Source organism: Homo sapiens, chromosome 19 (assembly GCF_000001405.40).
Source record: "Homo sapiens chromosome 19, GRCh38.p14 Primary Assembly".
Taxonomy (NCBI): Eukaryota; Metazoa; Chordata; class Mammalia; order Primates; family Hominidae; genus Homo; species Homo sapiens.
Genome location: NC_000019.10, coordinates 43,795,345 through 43,822,335, shown reverse-complemented (window position 1 = coordinate 43,822,335; position 26,991 = coordinate 43,795,345). Strand labels below are relative to the sequence as shown.

At 46.5% G+C, this 26,991-nt stretch overlaps 1 protein-coding gene across 3 annotated transcripts, besides 1 other annotated feature; it reads left to right on the top strand.

Annotated features, from left to right (window-relative positions):
* Nucleotides 1-1,701: 1,701 nt before the first annotated feature.
* On the top strand, nucleotides 1,702-26,409 carry LYPD5 (LY6/PLAUR domain containing 5). 3 transcript variants are annotated; one of them, NM_182573.3, is made up of 5 exons: nucleotides 1,702-1,796; nucleotides 22,502-22,630; nucleotides 23,348-23,524; nucleotides 23,735-23,881; nucleotides 24,507-26,409. In NM_182573.3, the coding sequence occupies exons 2-5, from the start codon at nucleotides 22,567-22,569 to the stop codon at nucleotides 24,743-24,745; spliced, it is 627 nt and encodes a 208-aa protein (NP_872379.2). In that variant the 5' UTR covers nucleotides 1,702-1,796; nucleotides 22,502-22,566; the 3' UTR covers nucleotides 24,746-26,409. The 3 variants fall into 3 exon arrangements, with proteins under 3 accessions (NP_872379.2, NP_001026919.2, NP_001275692.1); NM_001031749.3 differs by lacking the exon at nucleotides 1,702-1,796 and adding an exon at nucleotides 19,889-20,019; NM_001288763.2 differs by lacking the exon at nucleotides 1,702-1,796 and having other exon boundaries at nucleotides 22,490-22,630.
* Nucleotides 23,271-23,440: an enhancer, noted in NCBI's record as "active region_14743". NCBI's record gives its function as "activates an Ori minimal core promoter by ATAC-STARR-seq in GM12878 lymphoblastoid cells {active_cell/tissue: GM12878}" and the evidence as "EXISTENCE:reporter gene assay evidence [ECO:0000049][PMID:35858748]".
* Nucleotides 26,410-26,991: the final 582 nt, after the last annotated feature.

Here is a 26,991-nt window from a genome sequence, read left to right as displayed (position 1 = left end):
TCAGTCTCCCAAAGTGCTGGGATTACAGGTGTGAGCCACCGTGCCTGGCCGAATTCAGTAGTTTCTAGTTTATTCAAAGAGCTATGCAACCATCATCACAATCAATTTTAGAACATTTTCATTGCCCAAAAAGACACCAATACCCACTAGCAATCATCATTTTCAGCCACTCCATGGGCTACAGGGATCTTTTCTGTTATTGCACTTGTTCTATATTCATATTTCATGTAATAAACATGCATTGCTTTTGTAATTACAAAGTAAAAAGAAAAACGTTTTAAAAAAAACTTATGTTGGGATTTTAAATTGATCCAACTGATTTCACTTTTTCTGATGCCACAATCAATTTCTTATTGTTTTACTTTTAATCACTCAAGTAATTCCATGTTCTAATGCTTTTCGGACCAGATCGGGAGCATTCAGAGTGGTATAGCTGTAGAGATGTTCTAATGCTTTTCAGTGAGGAGATAAAACAGAAATGAGGGAGGTCTATTAAGCTAAAGTAGTTCAGTATTTCAAGAAAGAGTACGTCGCTGAGATAGTAGAAGGCAGCCAAAAATCTTTCAAAATAAGTAATAAAAATATTTATTTGGATTTAGCAACATTCAGTTAATTGTTGCAGTTTTTAAATATTCAAATAACTGATGATAAATAATGTCAGAAATGAAAGTGTCCCCCTACTCATTCCCTATCTACAGAAATGACCAAAGTTAATATTTTCAGGTATTCTTCCAGATTTTTCTGTACACTGAATGTATGTATAAAGACACAGCTATTTTATACAGAAATGGGATCATGCTATCCATATAATTCTGCCATTTGCCCTTTCCACTTCAACACATTCTTCTACTTCATTTCATGTCAGTTATAGATTTAATTCATTCCTTTTAACGTTGAATTATTACCTAACCCAGCACTGTTCAATGTAGCTTTCTGTGATGTTAGAAATGTTTATATCCCTCTTGTCCAATACAGTAGCCACTAGCTGTCTTGGCTAATGAGCCTTTGAAACATGGCTAGTGTAAGAAACTGAATTTCGAATTTTATTTAATTTTAATAGATTTAATTTTAAATAGCCACAAATAGCTATCATATTGGCTAGCACAGACTAACAGTGTCTCAAAAAACGAACATTGAGGTTCTTCAGTATTACAATGTGAATTCTTCAGTATTACAAACACGGCTTTGGTAAGCATTACTGTACCCACATCTTTGTCTTTCATGCCAGCATTTTTGTAGGCTAGATTCTTGTATGTAAAAATGCTGGTTGCTTAGGGGTTTGCTTTCACACTTCGTGAATGCTACTACACAAAACTGTAAAAGAGCTGTAGTCATTTCCACCCACTACGTGTGAAAGCTCTCATTTCCCCACATTCTCAACAATATTGTGTACCATCTACATTTTTAGTTTTTGAAATTTGATAACTGAAAACGAAGTATGCCATCTGTTTCCGTTATCAGTTTATTGCTCTCACCTCCGCACGCACTCTTCAATATACGCTCCCTGCTAAAGGGATTCCCCCGAAGGGTTCCTGCGCCTACGCACTCGGAGCACAGGTTACAACTTCCAGAAACCCTTGGGACGCGCCGTCCCAAACTTGGGTTTCTGGCGTCTCCTGCGTTTCCGGCCCGGGACTACAATTCCCACAGGTCACTGGGCCGAATGAGCGTGCGCTCCTGATCCGCTTTGCGCATCCCAGTGATTCTTGGGTTCCGCGTGTAGTTTCGGAAGGAGACATCGAAGCAGGGCGAGGCGCAGAGGGCGTTGCGGACTCATGCCCCAGTCGGCAGTGCGGGTAAGGGTGGGAGAAGCAATGAGGCGAATGCGAGCAGCCGAAGAAGGCGACAGTGTGGCTGGGTATGAAGACTTGAGGGAGGGGGTGGGGCAAAACGAGGTCAGGCGTCTCCCTGGCCGCGTGTGATGGACCGTCCGTGGTGGTGACAGACATGGTGTAGGGGGTGTGTGCAATATTATGTGCGTGATAGAGCCAAGGATGTGCCCTACCGTGCGAATGGTGACGTTGCGTCTGTATGAGAGTGCACGTGCCACGGCTGGGATGTCTTGTGACACAGGGAATGGGGTGTGTGTGCATCTGTGCACATGAAATGGCCAGGGTATGTCTTCGTGACTGCATGTGTGCTCATGACACAGCAGGTGTGTTTCTCTTTGTATGACAGACTGTGTGTATGTGTCAAAAAGAAGAAAGTGCTTGGTGTATGACAGGACTGGAATGAATCTGTGACTGTGACACAAGTGTGTGGGTTTGTGTGTAGAGTGACAGCTGGAGTGTGCCCTAGACAATCGAGCTTTCCTACAGGAATGGTGAAGTCTTTTCCTTCTCTAGCTACACAGTATTGTCCAATAATTGAAGTTTTTAGGACCCAGAAGTTGCTAATTTGGGCCTTCTGAACTGGAATTGGGTCAGGAACTGGATCAGTGGGCACCAACTCTCTAGCTTCCCAAGGCCATCAGTCTCCCATAGTGGTTCCCTCACATACATAACAGAAAGTAACATTGAGGAAATGAGCTACACTTTCCGCTAGCTGGAGAAACAAGTTCTTTTGTCCTTTTTGGAAGCTCTGGTGTTGGCAGATTCGGCTCATCATAAAAAGTTTGAAACACTGGTTTGGGAGAGTGCCTGTGTACCTCCCCTCAAACTAAAAAGGCAACTTGGGGGTTTAGCCCTGACCCATCGATCTCCAGGGTTACACGTTCTCCTTTTTTCCAACGGGGGTCTAGGGGATTAGTGGGTCATGAGTTAGAGGCCTGTGAAAATTGTGCCTATTGACCATGTGTTATTTAAGCTACTTAGAAAAAGGACAGAAAAGACCCGGTTCACCTTCAGAAAAAGGAAGCCAATCCCTCCTGTGCTACCGGTCACTGTAACCCGCTAGAACTAATAATCACTAATCTCCTAGACCCCTCGGGAGGCTGAGGCAGGAGACTCGCTTGAACCCTGGGGGTGGAGATTGCAGTGAGCTGAGATCATGCCACTACGCTCCAACCTGGGCAACAAGAGCAAACTCCATCTCAAAAAAAAAAAAAAAAAAAGAAGAAGAAGAAGAAGGGAAAAATGAAAAGAATGAAGGCTATGTCCAACTTGAAGTTAGAACACAGAATAATAGAATAAATACAAAGAAAGTTGGTTGAGGTCAACAATAAGCACAAGTTAAAGAAATAGAAAACACTGATGCAATAGAGGCTAAATGCCAACAACTGCTTATTTGAAGTGATCCATTTCTGAGATAATTAAAAAATAGATTATTTCAAAAGATGAATAAAAAAGAGAACAGGCACAAATAATATTAAGAAAGAAAAAGACTACACAAGAATAGAAAATATTTTTTGAATTAGAATAAATTTGAAAACAGATGAAATGGTCAATTTCCTAGAAAGCTATAACTTAAAGAATTGACAAGAAGAGACAGAAACTTTTAATAATAGACAATTAGTCATTAATGATACAGCATCAGTAGTTTAGAATTTAAACTCTAATCATCACCAGGCTCAGATAATTGCATGCAAGAGTTGAATTAAGAAAGAGTTCAGACACATCTTATGTGTCACTTCAGATCCTCTCAGCCTCACCTGTGCCTGGGGCCTCTGGAAACTTGTTTCTCTTGATTCACTGCTGCAGCAACATCCCTGCATGAACTCAGAACAACTCTACATGGGCACAAGCAGCAACGAAACCTGACCTCATGCCTGCAATGGGCACTACTTGTCTCAAGCCCCAGGGCTTTCCTGTTGATGCTGATGCATGAGACGTTACAGAACCCATTGAACTATTCACACGCGACCTGGAAGTACAGCGGAGTTAATAGTCTCTGGGACAAACATTTCATGAACCAGTGGATGAATTCACCTCCCTTCTTCTCCTCAGCTAGGTGGTCTTAAAACACAAAATTAAACAATCAATTACACTTGATAGCAAGCAGTGGCCAGCTCAGTAAGACCTTCATACAAGTGTTGTCTCCTTCCCTACCACACTATACTTTTCCCTCTCTCCTGCTTCCCTGGAACTGTACCGGCTGATAAAATAATAGCACAGAAACTTCTTCTCAGGGTCCTCCCTGTAGGCAATGTAAGCTAAGAGGAGTGTTTCCAGGAGAGACCCTCAAGATCCTTGTGATAGGATTTCAAGCTTGTTACTTATCCATGTTTGGCCCAAGTCTGATCTCACAGTGAGTTCAGTAAGTCCATGAACTCACCCTATGGTTGTTTTCCTCTATCCTTTAACATATATTTGGGATAGATATGCTCATCTTCTGGTAGAACTCATTATAGTGGCTTCCTAACTTGTGAACTAAGAGTACTTATGGGCTGGGCGCAGTAGTTCATGCCTGTAATCCCAGCACTTTGGGAGGCCAAGGCGGGTGGATCATGTGGTCAGGAAATAGAGACCATCCTGGCCAAAAAGGTGAAACCTCATCTCTACTAAAATAAAAAAATTACTTGCGTGTGGTGGTGCACACCTGTAATCCCAGCTACTTGGGAGGCTGAGGCAGGGGAATAGCTTGAACCTGGGAGGCAGAGATTGCAGTGAGCTGAGATGGCGCCACTGCACTCCAGCCTGGTGACAGAGTGAGACTCCATCTCAAAAAAAAAAAAAATAAATAAAGTCCTTATGGTATAAAGAGCCAAGTGGAAACCCTTGAAACTCAATACTGTGCTGTGGGAGGAATTGCAGAGATTGCATCATCATCAAAATTTAGAGGATGCAGGATTATTTGTCCCTATCATACCTCCATTCATTTCACTTGGCCCCTGCAAAAAACCTGCATGACTGAAGCTAGTGGATGTGGTAGATTGAAAAAAAATCCCACAAATTCTTCCCATTCCTGTGTGTATATTCTTTGCAACATGACTTTGCAGCTCTTCCCTTCAAAGGTGGAGTCAATTTCTCCACTCCTTGAATCTGGGAATGTGCATTTGATTTTCTTTGAGACAGTAGTAAATGTGACATATAGAGGTTTGAAAAACACTCACTGAATGGAAACTGCTTTCTTGTTGCATTTTGAACCCAGCTCCCATGGGTTCATGCAAGCGTGAACTAGACTGAGGGATGATGAGAAACATAAGGCCAAGTCATTCTCATGCCCCCTCCCCCACAATAACCAACCAACCATTAGAACTTTGAGTGAGGCCTGACTATACTATGCAGCTGCAGCCAAACCAGCCCAGAGCAAAAGAAATGCTCAGAAAGCCCCCAGAATTGTGAGAAATAATATTCGTAATTTCAAGCCTCTGAGTTTTGGGGTTACTGATTGTTTTCGTCTGTTTTCATGCTGCTGATAAAGACATACCCAAGACTGGGTAACTGATAAAGAAAAACAGGTTTAATGGACTCATAGTTACACATGCCTGGGGAGGCCTCACAATCATAGCAGAAGAGCAAAAGAGAACAAAGAGACATCTTACATGGCAGCCAGCAAAGAGAATGAGAGCCAAGCAAAAAGGGTTTCCCCTTATAAAACCATCAGCTCTGATAATACTTATTCACTATCATGAGAACGGTATGGGGGAAACCACCCCCATGATTCAGTTATCTCTCACCGGGTTCCTCCCACAACATGTGGGAATTATGGGAGCTACAATTCAAGATGAGATTTGGGTGGGGACACAGCCAAACCGTATCACTTATTATGTGGCCAAAGCTAATTCATAGTGACTACTTTAAATGTAAACAAATAGCAGCTCCAATTTCAGCTGCTATGTCAGATGTGACATCTTTACTGGAGTTGACCAACCTAGTTTTTGGTCCTTAGTATGTGCTTAATGATCTGACAAATGTATTTTACTTGATCTCTGACATTTAGGAGAATTAAAAGCCATTCATGTGTGCATGGTAAGGACTGCAGCACTGTCTTGCCCCAGGTTCCTGATAACCCTCCTAATCTCCGTCATATTGTAGTCCACAGAGGCCTTGATCATCTTTACATTCTGAAGAACATAGCACTGGTTCATTCCACCAATAAAATCATGCTAATTTGACCTGGTGATCAGGAAGTGGCAATCACTGTAGAAGCCATAGTAATGCAAATGAGTGACAGAAAGAGGGAGATAAACCTCATGAATGTTCACTAACTTACCACATCAGTGAAGATTTTAGAAGTCCAATCATCTGGGACATGCCATAGTATCTCCCTTAAGGTAAAGAATAAGTTATTACAACTCACACTTCCTAAACTGATAAACAGGCACATAATTTGGTAGGGCTCTTTGACATTTGAAAGTGATAGATACATGATAGGTAGATAGATAGATAGATAGATAGATAGATAGATAGATAGATAGATAGAGTGGGGCGTGGTGGCTCACACCTGGAATCCCAGCAGTTTGGGAGGCCAAGGCGGGTGAATCGCTTGAGGTTAGGAGTTCGAGACCAGCCTGGCCAACATGGTGAAACTCCATCTCTACTAAAAATACAAAAATTAGGCATGGTGGTGCACACCTGTAGTCCCAGCTACTCAGGAGGCTGAGGCAGGGGAATCGCTTGAAGTCGGGAAGCAGAGGTTGCAGTGAGCTGAGATCGCGCCACTGCACTCCAGCCAGGGTGACAAAGTGAAACTCCGTCTCAAAAATAAAATAAAATAAAATAAAAATAATAGATGGGTATATATAGATGTGTGTTTATATATAACATATATGATTTATATGATACATATATAAATCACACTTCAGAATAGTGTTCTTTTTTTCTCTTTTTTTAATAGTTCTAGGTGTCTTTTATAGCTGGTTTTTGGTTTTGTTTTTGTTTTAGACAGAGTCTTGCTCTATTGCCCAGGCTGGAGTGCAGTGGCATGATCACAGCTCACTGCAGCCTTGACCTCCCTGGCTCAAGTAGATCCTCCCACCTCAGCCTCCCGAGTAACTGGGACTACAGGCACATGCCACCGTGCACAGCTAGTTTTTAAATTTTTTGTGGAGACGGGGTCTCCGTGTGTTGCCCATGCTGGTCTCAAACTCCTTTTTCTTTCTTTCTTTTTTTTTTTAGAAATAGGTTCTCACTATATTGCCCAGGCTGGCCTCAAACTCCTGGCCTCAAACAATCCCCCCACTTTCGGCCTCCCAAAGTGCTGAGATTACAGGCGTGACCCATCATGACTGGCCTGGAATTTTGTTCTGACTCATTTTTCAGATAAACTTGAAGGCTGCTGAGTTTCAAAGCAGGTGAGAGCTCTACAGCAGGTAAAGCCTGCGATGCAATCTCCCTGTCCCTGAGCCACATGAATCAGCAACTTTGATGGTGTCACCTCTATCCATAATGGTTGAAGCTGTTATGTGGAGTCTCTGGCAAGATACAAAAGCAAAATTACAGCCCGTAAGGTTCTGAAGTAAGTCCATTTATTATGCAGCATATAAGTGCTTTCAATTTGAAAACCAGCTGCTGAGTACTAATAGAGTCTGTGATTTTGACCATGGGACATCAAGTATCTATATGACTAAAACTACCTGTCATGAGTTGGGTATCTAACCCACTAAGTCATAGTGCGATTTGGGCACAGTATTAATTCATTGTAAGAGATCTAGATGGCACAAAAGAGTTACACACACAGACAGCTCAGACTCTCATGTCACTGACCTTGGTTGCAGCTATGTTGTTCCTTTAATTCACATTCATGACATCATATGAAGATTTTCCTGTAGAATATTAAGGAAGAAAAGGTCTGGCTCACAGATGGATCAGTGTGACTGATGTATTTTGGAAGCTGAACCTAAATTATCATATTACGGGACCACTACTCAGAGGTGGGTCCTACAGGCAGTGGTGAAGGTAAATCCTGGTGTACAGAGCTGTGATTGGAGATCTTCACTTCATTTGTTTGTTTGTTTGTTTTAGAGACAGGTCTTTCTCTGTTACCCAGGCTGGAGTGCAGTGGCAGGATCATAGCACACTGCAGCCTCAATCTCTTGGGTTCAAGTGATTTTTTCATTTCAGCCTCCCCAGTAGCTAGGACTACAGGTGTGCACCACTACACCTGCTAATTTGTTTTGAATGTTTTGTAGAGATGGGGTCTCCCTATGTTGCCCAGATTGATTTTGAACTCCTGGGCTCAAGCCATCGTCCCGCCTGAGACTCATAAAGTGCTGGGATTACAGGCTGAGCCACCACACCTGGCCCCTTCACTTAAATTGGAGTGAGATGTGGCCCAATGTGCAGATATACATGGGCTCCTGGGAAATGGCCCATGGCTTTCTGTTTGGTCAGGATCTTGTAAGGAATGAGACTGGAAGCTCAGGGGCAAGTAGGTCTAGGAAGAAGTATGTGGATACATTTATGGGCGTACATACAAAATGCATGCATATATGTGTCTCATCCTAATTCCTACTAAAAATAATCCTTGGTTGGGCACAGTGGCTCATGCCTGTAATCCCAGCACTTTGGGAGGCCGTTGCAGGCAAATCACTTGAGGTCAGGAGTTCGAGACCAGCCTGGCCAACATGGTGAAACCCCATCTCTGCTAAAAATACAAAAATTAGCCGGGCTTGGTGGTGTGCACTTGTAATCCCACCTACTCAAGAGGCTGAGGCAGGAGAATCACTTGAACCCGGGAGGCAGAGGTTGCAATGAGCCAAGATTGCACCACTGCGCTCCAGCCTGGGCAACAGAATGAAACAGCGTCTCAATAAATAAATACATAAATACACAAATAAATACAACAATAATCCCCACAAAGAAAGCTCTTAACAACAGGGATGATCCATCCCATGAAAGTAAGTCAGTCCATCTCCTCAGCCAGCCCCATGCTGGTTCAATGGTCTCATGAACAGAGTGGCCATGGTGGCAAGGGTGAAAGCTATGCCTGTGTGTTAGTCTGTTTGGCATTGCAATAAGGGAATGCCGGAGTCTAGGTAATTTATAAGGAAAGAAGGTTATTTGGCTCACAGTTCTGCAGACTGTACAAAAAGCATAGTGCCAGCATCTGCTTCTGGTGAGGCCTCAGGAAGCTTACAATCATGGTGGAAGACGAAGGGGGAACAGGTGTGTCACATGGCAAGAGAGAGAGCGAGAGAGAGACGGTGGAGTTCCCAGACTTTTTAACAACCAGATCTTGCATAAACTCATTACTGTGGGAGGGCACCATGCAGGGGCTACCTTTCACTGAAACTAATCAAGTTACCGCCGCTACTGAGTACCCAATCTGCTAGCAGCAGAGGCTGATCCTGAGCACTTGATATGCAACTGCTTCTCAAGGAGACCAGCCAGCTACCTCATAGTAACGTAATTACACAAGACATCTCCTGAATGGGGCAGGAATTTATTCTTACAGTGTCCTTAATATCTTTATGAGGTCGGAGGTGGGACTTGATTCCGGAGGTGGGGCTCAGACACCAGACCTAATTGAGGACCAGCTAAAACAGGGCCTGGGTGGAAGCAGCTTTCCATAAGACACTCCCGCCAGTGTGCCATGTCAGTTTACCATTGCCATGGCAATACCCGGAAGTTACCACCCATTTCCATGGTGATGACCTAGAAGTTACCACTCTTTTCCTAGAAATGTCTGCATCATCTGTCCCTTAATTTGCGTGTAGTTAAAAGAGTATAAATTTGACTGCAGAACTGCCTTTGAGCTCCAAGAAATCTGGTTAAATGTTGTGGCTCAAACCTACGATTTCCTTGTGGGTAAAAATGAATGTTTTTAAATATTTTAATTAGTTGGCCTTGTAGGTCTTCCCTGCATGTTCTTTATCACTGTCACAATTATTGTGTGAATGTGAGATGAACGATCAAGTTTCAAGTTATTTAGCCCTTTAAAAATAGTCTGAAAAGAAGGGAAGGGAAGAATTGAATTGGAGAAAGACCCTTGCCTATGCCAGAATTTATATTTAGGAGTGAAGCAAAAGATGTCTGCAACTTGCTTTTAATGGTTCAACAGTAATAGACAAATAATAGATGATAAAGATGATAATGATGATAGATAGCTGGATGGATGGATAGATAGATGATAGATTGATAGATAGATAGATAGATAGATAGATAGATAGATAGATAGAAAAAATAACCACAAATCATTCCCCTCCCTCTATCCACACCTTTTGTTAGTGTCCTTCTGCACTGACTCTGGGATACCCTGGTGACTTGCTGTGGCCAATGGGACATGGGACATTAGCAAACATAACATAAGCAAAGGCATGAAAAGCACCTGCTTATTAGGGGTTGCTCTTTTTTGCTCCCCTTTGGAACGTTGCAACTCCCATGTGATAAAGTTCAAGCTAGCCATTTGGAGGAGAACTGAGGCCTGCCTGACAGCCAGTCTTGTGAGTGAGACCATTCTGGGTCATCCAGCCACCACCCAACCCTCCAGCTGACCACAAGCACATGACAGAGCCCAGCAGAAATCAGTCAAGCCAGCCCATATCAGAAGAACAACCCAAGAGACACACAGGATTTGGAGAGGGGTAAAATGCTTGATGTTTTAAGCCCCTACATTTTGCTTGTGGTTTCCTATGCACCAGAGGCTGACACAGAAGATAGAGATAGAATAAGCAAATATGGCAAATGTTGACAATTTTGATCCACATAATTGCTATATGGATGATCAATGAGTCTTCCTGCCTGCCTTCCTCCCTCCCTCCCTCCCTTCCTTCCTTCCTCCCTCCCTCTCTCCTTCCCTCTTTCTTTCTCTCTTTCCTTCTTTCTTTCTTTCTTTCTTTCTCCCTTTGTCACCCAGGCTAGAGGGCAGTGGCGTGATCTCTGCTCACTGCAACCTCCGCCTTCCAGGTCCAAGCCATTCTCCTGCCTTTGCCTCCCAGGTAGCTGGGATTATAGGTGCCCACCACCACATCAGGCTAATTTTTGTATTTTTAGTAGAGACAGAGTTTCGCCCTGTTGGCCAGTCTGGTCTTGAACTCCTGACCTCAGGTGATCTGCCCGCCTTGGCCTCCCAAAGTGCTGGGATTACAGGCGTGAGCCACCGTGCCCAGCTGATGAGCTAATTTTTCAACACTTTCATACCTTTAAATTTGTTTGCAATAAAATTTAGAAAAATCACCTTTATTTTCATGATGTCACGTTTCTCAACTATTCCATGTTATCCATTTTTTTTTCCCTCAATCTCCTGGGCTCAAGCTGTCATAGTCATCCTGCCTCAACCTCCCAAATGCTGGGATTACAGGCATAAGCCATGGCACCCAGCCCCATGTCATCCTATATTTCAAAGTTAATCTGTGAAACCTTGCTTATATCAAGTTAACTCAAAATATTCACCTCTCACCTTTTATTTAGAGCCTTCTCCAGGCTCTAAATAAAATATAAATACAAAGGATATTTAATAATTCTTTATGAACATATTTTAAAGCTGTATTAGAAACTACACAAATGCTGCCAAAGAAAGGTGTTTGATCACGCTGTGGGTGGTCTGGTATATATTTACTATTATTTAAAAAATATTTTTCTGTTAGGCTGGGCGCAGTGGCTCACGCCTGTAATCCCAGTCCTTTGGGAGGCCGAGGCAGGTGAATCACCTAAGGTCAGGAGTTCAAGACCAGCCTGGCCAACGTGGTGAAACCGCATCTCTACTAAAAGTACAAAGAATTAGCCAGGCGTGGTGGCAGGCCCCTGTAATCCCAGCTTACTTGGGAAGCTGAGGCAGGAGAATCACTTGAACCCAGGAGGCAGAGGTTGCAGTGAGCCAAGATCGCTGCATTCCAGCCTGGGCAACAGAGCGAGACTCTGTCCAAAAAAAAGAAAGAAAGAAAGAAAAACGGAAAGAAAGGAAGGGAAGGGAAAGAAAGGGGAGAGGAGGGGAAGGGAGGGGAGGGGAGGGGAGGGGAAGGGAGGGGAGGGGAGGGGAGGGAACGGAAGGGAAGGGTAGAAACTAGCAAAATTAGCCAGGCACAGTGGCATGCAACTGTGGTCCCAGCTACTCAAGAGGCTGAGGAGGGAGGATCACTTGAGCCCAGCAAGTTGAAGCTGCAGTGACCCATGATGATGCCAGCGCACTCCAGCCTGGGTAACAGAGAAAGACCCTGTCTAAAAAAAACACACGACTATATAACATCAGTAGCAAGACAAGCATGTTTACTCTCATTAATTCTATTCAATCATGTACTGGGAGTTCTAGCCTATACAATAAGGCAAGAAAAAGAAAAAAAAGGCATAAAGATTGGAGAGGAAAAAGTAAAATGGATTTTGTTTTGCAGATGCCATGATTCTACTGTCACCATGTGCAGTTGTTCATGTTGGGCACTGCACAAGAACACTACACCTAAGGAGGTGCTATTCATATCACAGACATCTTTACTATTTTGAAAACAACTTTTTGAAAATTATTATGTATTGTGCATGCTATTGACGGTTGCAAAAGTGATTTACAATTTATTGCAACTATGTTCCAGCAGATGGCAGTAAAGTGTCTTGTTCCAAGAGGGTTGGTAGCTACCATTCTACTTCCATATACTAAGGAGACATTGGTTTTGAAATGGAAAGACGTGTTGATTTTATGTCATTTAAAATAGTCTGTGCTTCTAAACAATGAGCTGCTCTTCCACCTGATATGCAGAACATTTTGTTAAAGTCCCTAATGGTGCCAGCACATTGTCTGTATTCAGTATTTCATATTGCAGTTCATATTTTCATCTAATTATTTACTCTACCAGACTGGAATTGTTGAATTCTATGTTTAAATCTACAAGTCCTGGCCAGGCACAGTGGCTCACGCCTGTAATCCCAGCACTTTGGGAGGCCAAGGCGGGTGGATCACCTGAGGTCAGGAGTTGAAAACCAGAGTGACCAACATGGTGAAACCCTGTCTCTACTAAAAATACCAAAAATTAGCCCAGTGAATGAGCCGGGCGTGGTGGCAGTCGCCTGTAATCCCAGTTACAGAGGCTGAGGCAGGAGAATCGCTTGAACCCGGGAGGCGAAGGTTGCAGTGAGCCAAGATTTCGCCATTGCACTCCAGCCTGGGTGACAAGAACGAAGCTCTGTCTTAAATAAATAAATAAATCTACAAGTCCTTTCACTTGGCACAAATCACTGTATAATAATATCCGGTCAGGTGCAGTGGCTCACACATGTAATCCCAGCACTTTGGGAGGCTGAGGTGGGCAGATCACGAGGTCAGGAGTTCGAGACCAGCCTGCCAACGTGGTGAAACCAAGTCTCTACTAAAAATGCAAAAATTAGCCGGGTGTAGTGGCGGGCGCCTGTAATCCCAGCTACTCGGGAGGCTGAGGCAGGAGAATCACTTGAACCCGGGAGGTGGAGGTTGCAGTGAGCCGAGACCACGCCGTTGCACTCCAGCCTGGGTGACAGGGCAAGACTCTTGTCTCAAAACAACAACAACAATAACACAACAAACTAATATCCGGTTACCATTAATCATCCACAAAGAATGTGTGTGGGTTGAAATTAAAGAGTATTATGCAAGTCTGTTAATTATACTATTATAGTAGTTGCTTATTATTGCTTTAGAAATTTCATCAGTATAAAAATAAACTTATGAAAATTTAATGATTTGTTGCCTACATAGTATTGTAAGATGCTAAAATTCTAAGATAAAATATTAACCTTATTCGATGTCTATCAAGGACAAAAAATAATCAGGACCAGAAAATGGAAAGCTATTATGAAACAAAGTGGATCATTGAATGAATTTTTGAGAAAAACAAAGTTGCAAGGGGAAAAAATTTCCACAGCTGCTATTTTGGCAGAATGTAGCACAGATCCATTAATTATTGAGCAGAACAGACCATGAATTTACTCCTTCCACTTTTGGGTAAGCCAAGAAAAGAAAATTCAAGAAATAACTGGAAGACAGGAAAAATGGAGAATAAACGAACCCTTTAATTACATGTTCTTTTCGTCAATCCAGGTACCCAGCCACCTAATTTAAATATTAAACTCTTTAGATGTGAATATTTAAATATTAAACCCTTAAATTTAAACTCTTAAAAATTATTCACCTTAAATAAGAGCAGTTAGGCTGGGTGCAGTGGCTCACGCCTGTAACCTCAATGCTTTGGGAGGCTGAGGCCAGTGGATCAGTTGGGGTCAGGAGTTCGAGACCAGCCTGGCCAACATGGTGAAACCCCGTCTCTACTAAATATACAAAAATTAGCCAGGCGTGGTGGCAGACACCTGTAATCCCAGCCTCTCCGGAGGCTGAGACATAAGAATCACTTGAACCTGGGAGGCAGTGGTGAGTCAAGATCACGCCACTGCACTCCAGCCTAGGCAACAGAGTGAGACTCTGTCTCAAAAAAAAGAGCATTTAACTTCCAAAAGACAGTAACGGTAGACAGAAAAGTAGTTTCACATCAATTTTTTCAACTGAGGAATAAATGACCAGATCAGGTAACTTTGTTTAATCTCAAAGGATTCTGTAATTAATGTTTATTTCAAAGAGGTGGAAAAAATACACTGGAGATGGAGAAAAATACACTAAAACAAAGAAATGAGTAGAATGTGGTGGATGCTGTGATTTGCCACCAAGATCTCTTTAGGAATGAAGGACTCTGACAGCTGCTTCTGATGTCAGCCCCTTGGGCATTGCCTCAGCTGATCAGAACCCAGAAGCCCAGTGCCAGACCTCCCCCTGGGGTGCACTGAACCCTTGGATTGACTGAATCAGGACCCAATCTCACCCTCTGCTCAAAATCCAGTTTCCTTTGCCTCCTTTATGCAGCTATTGATCCCAAGGTCCTGCATGCTAATCTCAGCCTCACAATCTGCCTCCCAGGAGAGCCTAGCCTGCAACAACACAGGTGAGCACAGCTATCACAAATTATTTGAAAATTAGAAGGTGGGCCAGGCGCGGTGGCTCACACCTGTAATCCCAACTCTGGGAGGCCGAGGCAGGCGGATCACCTGAGATCAGGAGTTCGAGACCAGCCTGGCCAAAATGGTGAAACCCCATCTCTACTAAAAACACAAAAATTAGCTGGGCGTGGTGGCAGGCGCCTGTAAATTCAGCTACTACTCAGGAGGCTGAGGCAGGAGAATCGCTTGAACCTGGGACACGGAGGTTGCAGTGAGCTGAGATCACACCATTGCACTCCAGCCTGGGTAACAAGAGCGAAACTCTGCCAAAAAAAAAAAAGAAAAAGAAAAGAAAAGAAAAGAAAGAAAATGAGGTGAGGGGCACTTCCACAAGAGCGTGCAACATTCAAAATGATTTGATATAATAACCAAAAAAATTCAAAGCAGGGTCCCAAACAGATATTTGTACAGCCATATTCATAACAGCATTACTCACAATAGCCCAGAGGCGAAACAACCCCAGTGTCCATTGATGGAAGGATGAATGAATAAATAGAATGCGGTGTATCCACACAATGGGATATTGTTCAGCCTTTAAAAGGAAGGAAATTCTGACACATGCTACATACAACATGGTTATACCTTCGGGACATTATGCTAAGTGAAATAAGCCAGTCACTAAAGGACAAGTACTATATGACTTCACTTATATGAGTTATCTAGAGCAGCGGTCCTCAACCTTTTGAGCACCAGAGACTGATTGTGTGGAAGACAATTTTTCCATGGACCTGGGGAGTGGGGGATGGTTTCAGATGATTCAAGAGCATTACATTTATTGTGCGTTTTATTTCTATTATTATTACATTGTAATATATGATGAAATAATTATATAACTCACCATAATGTAGAATCAGTGAGAGCCCTGAGCTTGTTGGGTTTGTTTTGTTTTGTTTTGTTTTGTTTTGTTGAGACGGTGTCTTGCTGTGTCGCCCAGGCTGGACTGCAGTGGTGTGATCTCAGCTCACCACAAGCTCCGCCTTCCGTGTTCAAGGATTCTCTTGCCTCAGCCTCCTGAGTAGCTGGGATTACAGGCGTGCCCACTATGCCCAGCTAATTTTTATATTTTTAGTAGAGATGGGGTTTCACCATGTTGACCAGGCTCATCTTGAACTCCCGACCTCAAGTGATCCTCCTGCTTCAGCCTCCCAAAGTGCTAGGATTACAGATATGAGCCACCACGCTTGGCCCACTGAGCTTGTTTTCCTGCCACTAGATGGTCCCCTCTAGGGGTGATGGGAGACAGTGACAGATCATCAGGCATTATAATCTCATAAGGAATGCATAACCTAGATCCCTTGCATACGCAATTCACAATAGGATTCACGCTGCTATGAGAATCTAAGCCACTGATCTGACAGGAGACAGAGCTCAGGTGGTAGTACAAGTAATGGGGAGAGGCTGTAAATACAGATGAATCTTCCCTCCCTCACCCACCGCTCACCTCCTGCTGTGCGGCCCCGTTCCTAACAGGTACTGGTACCAGGCCCCGGGGGTTGGGGATCCCTGATCTAGAGTAGTCAAATTCACAGAAACAAAGTAGAATGATGCTTGCCAGGGGGTGTGGGGAGGAGGGATAGAAGAAAGGGGAGTTGTTTGATGGGTAAAGAGTTTCAGTTTTGCAAGATGAAAAGTTCTGGATATTGATTGTACAAAACATGAATACACTTGATACTACTGAACTGTAAAAGAAAATTAAGATCTGATTTGAAAGAAAGAGATATTGATGCTGCAGGAAGAATGCATGTGAAAACAACAAAAGAGGCCAGGTGTGGTGGTTCACGCCTGTAATCCCAGCACTTTGGGAGGCCGAGGCGGGTGGATCACCTGAGGTCAGGAGTTTGAGACCAGCCTGGCCAACATGGTGAAACCCTGTGTCTACTAAAAATACAAAAATTAGCCAGGCATGGTGGCAGGCACCTGTGATCCCAGCTACTTGGGAGGCTGAGGCAGGAGAATCACTTGAACCTGGGAGGCGGAGGTTCCAGTGAGCCAAGATGGCGCCACTGCACTCCAGCTTGGGCAACAGAGTGAGACTCGGTCTCAAAAAATAAAAATAACAAAATAACAAAAGAATATATTGGCATACAATCTGCATGATCCAATTTTTGACAAGGTCATGACTAGAGTTCCAAAAGAAAATTCACAATTCTGATAATGTGTGAAATAACATTTATGCAGAACATGAGGACTGGAAGCAAGGGATGACCCACATTACTTAGGGAATATCTTAAAACGCATTACAATTATGACTTGTTTGATTAATGGAATCATTTCCAATAAGGCAAGAAATACTAAATACTTCTCAACTATTTGGGCCACAAACCCTAGAAGGTACCCACATTTAGTAAACTGCTTATGAAAATCAAATATGAAAAAAAATTTTGAGAGGCCAGATGTTTGCAAACATGATTGGAAATGGAACCATGCGTGGAAACTGATGGAATGCAACAGAAGATCCTTGAGAACATTCTAAGGCATTCAGAATTCTAAGGCATTCAACAGACTCGTGAACACTCAGACACCAGGCAGATGAAGACAGCCAGATGGATGCTCCCAAAAGGTACAGGGAGCTGACACTTCAAAGTCTCCAAAAGTACCTGAATGATACCAGAATCAAAAGTGCACACAGCACTCACATACTCATGCATTCACCAGACTGGTCTGCCTACCCTGTAAGCCTCAATCCCTGAAACTGACAACTGCTGTGAAGACCTTCAGTGCCTCCACCTTCCACGGGGGCTTCAGAAAAACCATCCTCCTTCCTGGCCAGACTCCACTCTCCAGAGACCCCCGAGCACAACCCTGCCCCGGTCTGGATAGACCCCCACTGAGAGCCTGGGGCAGAAACTGGAGAATCAGGAAGGAAGAATAATTTGTATGCAAAACAGGTTCTGGGAAGTGAGGCCTGATGGGAAGAGGAGGGATTTGGCAAGATGACAGTAAGGGAGGACATAGTTTGGTGAGTGTCCATAGTGGCTGCTGTCAAAGAAAAATTGCACAGGCAAGGCAGACTTTATTCAAGGAGATTGCAATAGGGAAAGAGACTGAACTCAACTCCACTGAAACAAATATGCTAGGGTGGTTAAGCCCTAGGTGAGTTAATGGAAAAATATTGGAGGACAATGGGGGAGGTGGGTCAATGGGATGTGTCCATCACATGGAGTTATTCTGTCAATGGGATGTGTCCATCACATGGAGTTATTCCTGAGTCTGCAAATGTTTTTCTCTGTGATTGGGCCATCTGAGTTTGCTGATTGTCAATTATCAAAGTGAGGCTCCTACCCTCCCACAGAGACTGGGCGATAGGGGTGCTATCTCCCTTGATGATTTCAAAGGGATAATTCCCAGGTCCTTGAAAAAGACATTCCTGGGTTGTAACGCTGGCAAGAGACCAGGAGAAGATTTACCTACATTTCAAAGGCGCAGAGAAGGCCGGGCACAGTGGCTCACGTCTGTAATCCCAGCAATTTGGGAGGCCGAGGCGGGCAGATCACTTGAGGTCAGGAATTCAAGACCAGCCTGGCCAACATGGTGAAATTCTGTCTCTACTACAAATACAAAAATTAGCCAGGCATGGTGGCACATGCCTGTAATCCCAGCTACTCGGGAGGCTGAGGCAGAAGAATGGTGTGAACCTGGGAGGCGGAGCTTGCAGTGAGCCGAGATCACGCCACTGCACTCCAGCCTGGGCAACAGAGTGAGACGCCGTCTCAAAAAGAAAAAGAGAGGGGGTGCGGGGGGAGCAGAGAAAGAATTTGCAATTATATTTGGCCCTCTGTGTCTATGGGGTTCTGCATCCACAGGTTCTACCTCCACGCATTCAGTCAACTTTGGATAAAAAATATTTTGAAACCAAAAAACAATAAAAAAAATAGAAATAGAAAACAATACCGAGGGATGACTGTACAAGTTTTCTAAAGTAAGTGTCCTACAAAAAGCGTGATCCAGGGCCGAGAGGAAGAAACCTGTCTAAAGTTTAGTCGATCTGAGGGGACCATTAAGGCTCTTTTGGTCACCAGTGTTACGTGGACTCTGCCATCCAGATGTGGGTCTGAGACTCTGGGTGTCTGCACATGGCTGGTGCCCACTCTGTGGCTAGTATCCACTAGCCTGATCCAGCAGGCAGCATCTCCAGGCAGCAAGAAGTGAGACAAACCAGGAGGTGCTAGCCTGGGGTCTCTGCCTCAGCACCAACCACCTGCTGGGGCCTCCTCTGGACCTCCTCACCTGCTGAGTGTCTGAGCATCCACATGTGTCTGCCTGTGTCCTCGGGGGACAGTGACCCTCTGGTTGTCTGCTGTATCTCCATCTTCTTGATTTCATTCATTTAATAAATGTTTCTGAAACACCTGGGGGCATGTCGTGTCTATCGGGGTGTCCCTCTTCACCTCTAGGTTTGTCTGTGTGACTACACAGTCACATCTGTTCACAGCAGGCTGTGTCTGTCTTTCTGCATCTCATGTGTAATTGCTTCCTCGAAGGCACACTCTCTCTCTCTCTCTTCCTCTCTCTCTGTTTCTCTTTTGTGTCTGTCTCTCCCTGTATGTCTCTTGGTGCCTCTCTGTTTGTGTCTTCATTCATTGATTCATTCGTTCAGTCATACGGTATCTCAGACATTCCTGGAGGCCCCCGAAGAGTTCACAGCCCGGTAGGGGAGACAGACGCTAGCCCAGCCTAGTTTGATCAGGGCTGGGAGACAGGAAGGTGCTGGAGGCTGAGGGTGTGTGGATGAGTGGGGAGATGGGGTTCAGAGAAGGTTTAGATGATGGGACGATGAACGTGTCTTTGGGTGTGGAGACATCCCAGGATTGGAAGCTGTGTGGGTGGTGTGTGTTGGGGTAGGGGGAGGGAAGGGAAGTCAAAAGGCCATATGTGCCACCCTCAGATTAGAGCAGAGTGCTGGGAGGGGTGAAGGAAGAAGGCCAACAAGACACCAATCATTCAAAATTAAGGGTTCCAGACTTCTAGTTCTCTCCTCCCTCAGACCCAGAAGTGTAGATCTCCAGCAACTGAGGATCACCCTGTTTCCATCACGATTACCTAGGAAGAGACCCGCCCACATAGGGAGGGTGGGACGAAGAAATACTGGCCAGGCTGGGTGGCCGGGATGCTTAGGACTCAGTAAGGAGAACCAGCCAGGCAGCACATCACAGCGGGAGGAGCTGTCCCAGGTGGCCCAGCTCAGCAATGGCAATGGGGGTCCCCAGAGTCATTCTGCTCTGCCTCTTTGGGGCTGCGCTCTGCCTGACAGGTACGCAAACTTCTGAATCCAGTAGTGAGAAGGGGCAGGTGGCCTGGACTCCTAGATCTGAGGGAGGAGAGACTGGGGGCCTGGACTCCTGGGTCTGAGGGAGGAGGGGTTGGGGGCCTGATCTCCTGGGTCTGAGGGAGGAGGGGGCTGGGGGCCTGAACTCCTGGGTCTGAGGGAGGAGGAGGCTGGGGGCCTGGACTCCTGGGTCTTGGTGGGCAGGAGCCTGGAGGCTATGTCATTTTCATTTCTCTTCCCTGCCTTTGTTCTTCTCCCATCAGTCATTTTTCCTGGTGTCTCTCTTCCCACCATCCCAGCCTTTCTTCTCTTCCTTGCCCAACCCCCAATTCAAAGGTATTTCCAGGGAGCCCTCAGGACTCTTTCCGAAACTGGCAGAAACCCTGGCTTCACCTTCAGGCAACCTCTACCCCATTGTGGGCTAGGACAGGAACATAACTCATTTCAGAATGGAAGTGGTTACAAAGACAGGGAATTAGAAATGTAGAAAGGAGGCTATTCCTGCACACAACCAAATCTGTGTGTTTCTGCTCCTTAATGGGAGAGAGTTTGATTTCTGTATGTGTCCAGGTTCAGTATGTCCTATGAGTCTCTGTGCTTGTGTGTGTTTCTCTGTATAGGTTTTAAAGTCTTAGTCTGAACAAATGCGTTTGTGGGTCTGTTTCTGAGTTTGCTTTCTTTGTAAAAGAGATGCGTGTGTAATTTTGTGTATCTGTGTCTGTGTTTATGTATCTGTGATTTGTAAGCCTATATTTATCTCTATGTATATATGCTCAGTTTTTGTTTTTTGTTTTGTTTTTTGAGACAGGGTCTTGCTCTGTCGCCCAGGCTGGAGTGCAGTGGCACAATCACAGCTCACTGAAGTCTTGACCTCCTGGGCCCAAGCAATCCTCCCACCTCAGCCTCCTGAGTAACTGTGACTATAGGCATGTGCCACTGCGCCTGGCTAATTTTTGTATGATTTTGTAGAGGTGGGGTTTCACTATGTTGCCCAGGCTGGTCTCAAACTCCTGAGCTCAAGCAATCCACTCACATCAGCCAATGAGACTGGCCTTTTTTCTTGTGGTTGTTTTTAAAATAGAGATAAGGTCTCACTCTGTTGCCCACACTAAGGTGTAGTAGCACAACCATGGCTCACTACAGCCTCAAACTCCTGGCTCAAGCAATTCTCCTGCTTCAGCCTCCCAAGTAGTTGGGCCTGCAGGGGGACACCACCATGCCTGACCAATTGTTTGGGCCTTTTGATGTGTTTTTTTTTTTTTTTCTCTCCATGTATCTGTGTTACATGGGTCTATACATTTTGTATCCATATGTGATTTTGATTTTTTTTTTTTTTTTGAGACAGAGTCTCCCTCTGTCGCCGCCCAGGCTGGAGTGCAGTGGCGCGATCACAGCTCACTGCAACCTCTGCTTCCCAGGCTCCAGCAATTCTCGTGCCTCAGACTCCTGAGTAGCTGGGACCACAGGCGTGCACCACCATGCCCAGCTAATTTTTGTATTTTTAGTAGAAACGGGGTTTCACCTGTTGCCCAGACTGGTCTCTAACTCCCGAGTTCAGGTGATCCTCCTGCTTCAGCCTCCCAAAGTGCTGGGATTATAGGCATGAGCCACCACCCCTGGCCTCCATATATGATTTTAAACTGTATGTTTTTGTGATCTCATTTTCCTGTATCTCTAAACATCGCATAATTGTGGCCTCTGGTTTTATTTGTGCTTCTGTGATTTGGGACCTCTCTGGGTATGATTTTCTGTGCATCTGGTCCCTCTCTGTGTTGATATGGTTATCATACAGGCACAAGCATCCTCACAGACATACGCTTTGTGTCTGTGTGATTTTCCATGTGTGAAGTGCTGTGCCTTAGTTAGGGAGGTTTATATTGCAGGGTCCAGATGCGTACTTGTTTTGTGTGAGAATGTAAAACTCTGCCTGGGTGCATTCAGGATATTCTGTGTATATTTGTGAGACTTGGATGAACCTGTGTATGTGTTGTTATTGTGTGTTTATGTCAGTTTGTGTGTTGCTGGGGCTGATGTATGGGTTTACAGGGCACTACAGGACCACACTTCACTCTACCTGTCCTGGAGTGCATGTTTCTTGTCAGGGGTCTCTTACTGTGCTGTCCACTTTGTGAGTTAAGCTTGGGGAAGGATGGGCAGAGCAAGAATGAATCACTTTTCCTTCCTATTCTAAGTCATAGCTAGGGAGAGGGCTTCCTGGAAGAGGGTGGAGACCTGGAGTGTCCTGGAGGGAAAAAACTGGACTGTCAGCTGCAGAGAGGTCATTACTCTGCCATGAGACAGACACAGCTGTGACCAGCTGCAATAGCAGCACCTGGTCTCTCAAGGCGTGTCTTCCCTGGGAGCAGAGGGGCCAGGCCCGTGTGCCTGTCATTTGCTGGGTGGAGCTCTGAGTTCCTGGGACAGGCTCACACTGGCCCTGCTGACTCTGCCACGCCTCTCTCCCCAGGGTCCCAAGCCCTGCAGTGCTACAGCTTTGAGCACACCTACTTTGGCCCCTTTGACCTCAGGGCCATGAAGCTGCCCAGCATCTCCTGTCCTCATGAGTGCTTTGAGGCTATCCTGTCTCTGGACACCGGTAAGGAGCGGGAGCCGGGGGACAGGGATGAGAGATTAGGGAGGAAAAAGGGGGGAGAGGGGAGCAGAAAGGGAGGGGAATTGAGTAGAAGATGAAAAGATAAAGATAGAAAGATGGGGAGGGAGAGGAAGAAGAGGAGGAAGAAAAAGAAAAGGGTGGATGAGGGCTGGGGCAGTGGCTCAGGCCTGTAACTCTAGCACTTTGGGAGGCAGAGGCTGGCGAATCACGAGGTCAGAAGTTTGAGACCAGCCTGGCCAACATGGCAAAACCCCGTCTCTACTAAATATACAAAAAGTTAGCTGGGCGTGGTGGCGGGCACCTGTAATCCCAGCTACTCGGGAGGCTGAGGCACGAGAATCGCTTGAATCCGGGAAGCGGAGGTTGCAGTGAGCCGAAATCGGGTCACTGCACTCCAGCCTGGCGACAGAGCGAGGCTCCGTCCTCCGCCCCACAAAAGAAAAAGTGGATGAGGGACGAGCGGTGAGGGGAGGAAACAATGGGGAAGCAAGGAAGAGAAGGTGGGAGAGGCGCACAGGGAGGAAGAGTGGAGGAAGAGAAGAACTCGGGGGAAAAGGTCTGGGGGTGAGAGGAAGGAGGGAAGGAGGGAGGGGAGGAGGTGTAGGTGAAAGTGAAAGGATAGAGGGAGGAGGAAGAACGCTGAGACTGGAGGGAGAAGGGTTTCGGGAAGCAGAGCACGAGCCCCGATCCCGCCCCCAGGGTATCGCGCGCCGGTGACCCTGGTGCGGAAGGGCTGCTGGACCGGGCCTCCTGCGGGCCAGACGCAATCGAACGCGGACGCGCTGCCGCCAGACTACTCGGTGGTGCGCGGCTGCACAACTGACAAATGCAACGCCCACCTCATGACTCATGACGCCCTCCCCAACCTGAGCCAAGGTGCGCGGGAGAGCGGGGCTGGGCTCCGGGAGGGACGATGAGAGGCCTGGCAGCCTCGGGGAAGGCGTGGCCTCCGCTGGGCGCCTGCTCTTGGCGCGCTAGGATCCCAACCCCCGAGACGTGCTAGGCGCGGGCTCTGGCGCAGTGCGCAGCCCGCACGACTGTGCCAGGGTACCACTGCCTGAGTGTGCATCTACGCTCTCTTGCCAGCACCCGACCCGCCGACGCTCAGCGGCGCCGAGTGCTACGCCTGTATCGGGGTCCACCAGGATGACTGCGCTATCGGCAGGTCCCGACGAGTCCAGTGTCACCAGGACCAGACCGCCTGCTTCCAGGGCAATGGCAGAATGACAGTTGGTAAGGGGCTGGAAGGGTGGAAGGGCCTGGGCAAGGGATATGGAGGCAGGGCAGCCATGAGGGTAGTGATACCAGACAGGCCCAACAGGGAGACATGGCCCTGCTCTGAGGTGGGAGGCATGACCCTGGTCTGAGGGAGAAGGTTTGACCCTGGTCTGAGGGAGAAGATTTGGCCCTGGTCTGAGGGAGAAGATTTGGCCCTGGTCTGAGGGAGGAGGCATGACCCTGGTCTGAGGGAGGAGGCATGACCCTGGTCTGAGGGAGGAGGCATGACCCTGGTCTGAGGGAGGAGGCAAGACCCTGGTCTGAGGGAGAAGCCTGGCCCTGCTCTGAGGAAGGAGGCCATGCCCTGGTCTGAGGGAGGAGGCATAACCCTGGTCTGGGGGAGGAGGCATGGCCCCTGGTCTGAGGGAAGAGGCATGGCCCTGGTCTGAGGGAGGAGGCACGACCCTGTTCTGAGGGAAGAGGCATGGCCCTGGTCTGAGGGAGGCCTGGCCCTGGTCTTAGGAGGAAAACCTGAAGCAAGTCTGAGGACCGAGGCATGGCCCTAGCTACCAAGGTGAAGGTTCAGGTGCAGCTGTCTCCCTCAGTTCTGACCGTTCCTCACTGCTTTGCCCACCTCCAGGCAATTTCTCAGTCCCTGTGTACATCAGAACCTGCCACCGGCCCTCCTGCACCACCGAGGGCACCACCAGCCCCTGGACAGCCATCGACCTCCAGGGCTCCTGCTGTGAGGGGTACCTCTGCAACAGGAAATCCATGACCCAGCCCTTCACCAGTGCTTCAGCCACCACCCCTCCCCGAGCACTACAGGTCCTGGCCCTGCTCCTCCCAGTCCTCCTGCTGGTGGGGCTCTCAGCATAGACCGCCCCTCCAGGATGCTGGGGACAGGGCTCACACACCTCATTCTTGCTGCTTCAGCCCCTATCACATAGCTCACTGGAAAATGATGTTAAAGTAAGAATTGCACTCCTGTCCCTCTGGCCTTCCATCTCTCCCGCCCTTGTGCCCCACAACCTGGCCAACAGTACTGGAAGAAACTGGACACAGTCACCAGCATCCCCGGGGAGGGCAAAACAGCCATGTCGTGCCCCGATGAAGAGCAATTCTGATCACAGCTGTTACTCACTGAGCACCAGCCAGGCACCAGGCACCCCATAACACGGCTTCCTGTGCTCTCCCTCCAGAGCCTGTCGCAGCTCTAGGAGGGAGCTATACAATGATGTCTTTATTAGTGTCATCATGAGAAGCCCAATAAGCAGTATGCCCTAACAGTTAGTAGGCCAGGCTCTGGAGCTAAGCTGCATGGGTTCAAATCCCAGCTCCACCATTCAGCCTGCAGAGACCATGAGCGAGTTACTTAAGCCAGGCTCTGGAGCTAAGCTGCATGGGTTCAAATCCCAGCTCCAGCATTCAGCCTACAGAGACCATGGGTGAGTTACTTAAGCCAGGCTCTGGAGCTAAGCTGCATGGGTTCAAATCCCAGCTCCACCATTCAGCCTGCAGAGACTGTGGGTGAGTTACTTGAGCTCTCTGTGCCAATATTTTCTCACCTATAAGGTGGAGGTGAAAATAAACTCTATAACATGACAAGAACTACTTCACAGTAGTTGCAGTGAGGATTCAACGAGATGAACATTTAGTACTTGGGACACAGCAGTGGCCCAGTGTAAATGGGCTACTTGTCATAAGCCCTAAGTCACAGGTCAACAAACTGAGAGGCAAAAGCACTTGGTTGAGCTTGTGTATCTAGTGAGTATGGATTCAGGGACCAGATTCCCAGCCCCACGAACTGCTAAGCAACCCCACCTCCTAAACACATGAGTGCCGATTAACTTCACAGAAAAACACACAAGGCAAAGTTCAGCGAGGTGAAATTCTCCAAGCTATAAAGATCAGGGAAGACTTCCTGGAGGAATTCACCCTTGAGCAAAATCCTAAAGGATCAATAGTAGCTGGCAAAAAGAAGCAGGAGGAAGCGCATTCTAGGTAGAGGAGACAGCCTGGACAAAGGTCTGAGGGAGGAAGGAGCACAAGGAGTGCAGGACACTTTCATGAGTGCAGGACACTTTCATAACTGCATGAACTTCATAGAGATGGGATCCTTTAGCATGTTCTCTGTGCACATGCTTGACCATGTTCTTTCACATGCTTTTTGCCACTTGATCTTTCCAGCAACTCAGTGAGAGAAGCAAAAAAGTAAGTTGCATCCTGCTATTGTCTGAATGTTTGTGTCTCCCCAAAATTCATCTTTTGAAACCTAATTACCAAAGTGATATTACTGGGAGGTGGGGCCTTTGGGAGGTGGTGAGATCATGAGGGTGGAGCCCCCATGAATAGGATTAGTGCCCTTATAAAAGAGGCCCTGGAGAGCTGCCTTGCCCCTTCCACCACATGAGAACACAGCCAGCAGGTGCCTATAAGCAAGAAAGTGGGTTCTCACCAGCCATCGAATCTGCTGGTGCATTGATTGCAGACTTCCCAGACTCCAGAGCTATGAGACATAAATTTCTGTTGTGTATAAGCCATACAGTCTATGGTATTTTGTTACAGCAGCCTGAAGGGACTAAGACACCTTCCTGTTTTACAGACAAGATGCCCAAAGCACAGTGAGAGAGCAATTTTCAGAGTAAGTGCATAGCAAGAGTAGACTCCCGTGTCTTCTCGCTCCATGTCAGCAAGTAGACTTGTGGGAAGGGGGGCAATTCAGAAACACTCCGCTCCTATGCTCCTGTAAGGCCATGTGACAAGGGCTTCAGGTGTCTTTACATCCTGACATACAAGGGGAAGCTGGATGTCTTCATTCATCCTTCACATTTACTGAGCACCTACTATGTGCAAGGCACTGTTCCAGTTGCTGGGCATGCAGCAGGGAACTAAAGTGGCAAAAATTCCCACCTTCAAGGAGCTAGCCTTTTTGATGGGCTAGCAATCCAAAGCGAACTTTGGATTTTGCTTGTGTATTTATTAGAGACAAGGTCTCGCTCTATCCCAGGCTGGAGTGCAGTGGCACAATCAGCTCACCGTGGCCTCAATCTCCCAGGCTCAAGCAATCCTCCCACCTCAGCCTCCCTAGTAGCTGGGACTATAGGTGTGTGCCACCACACCCT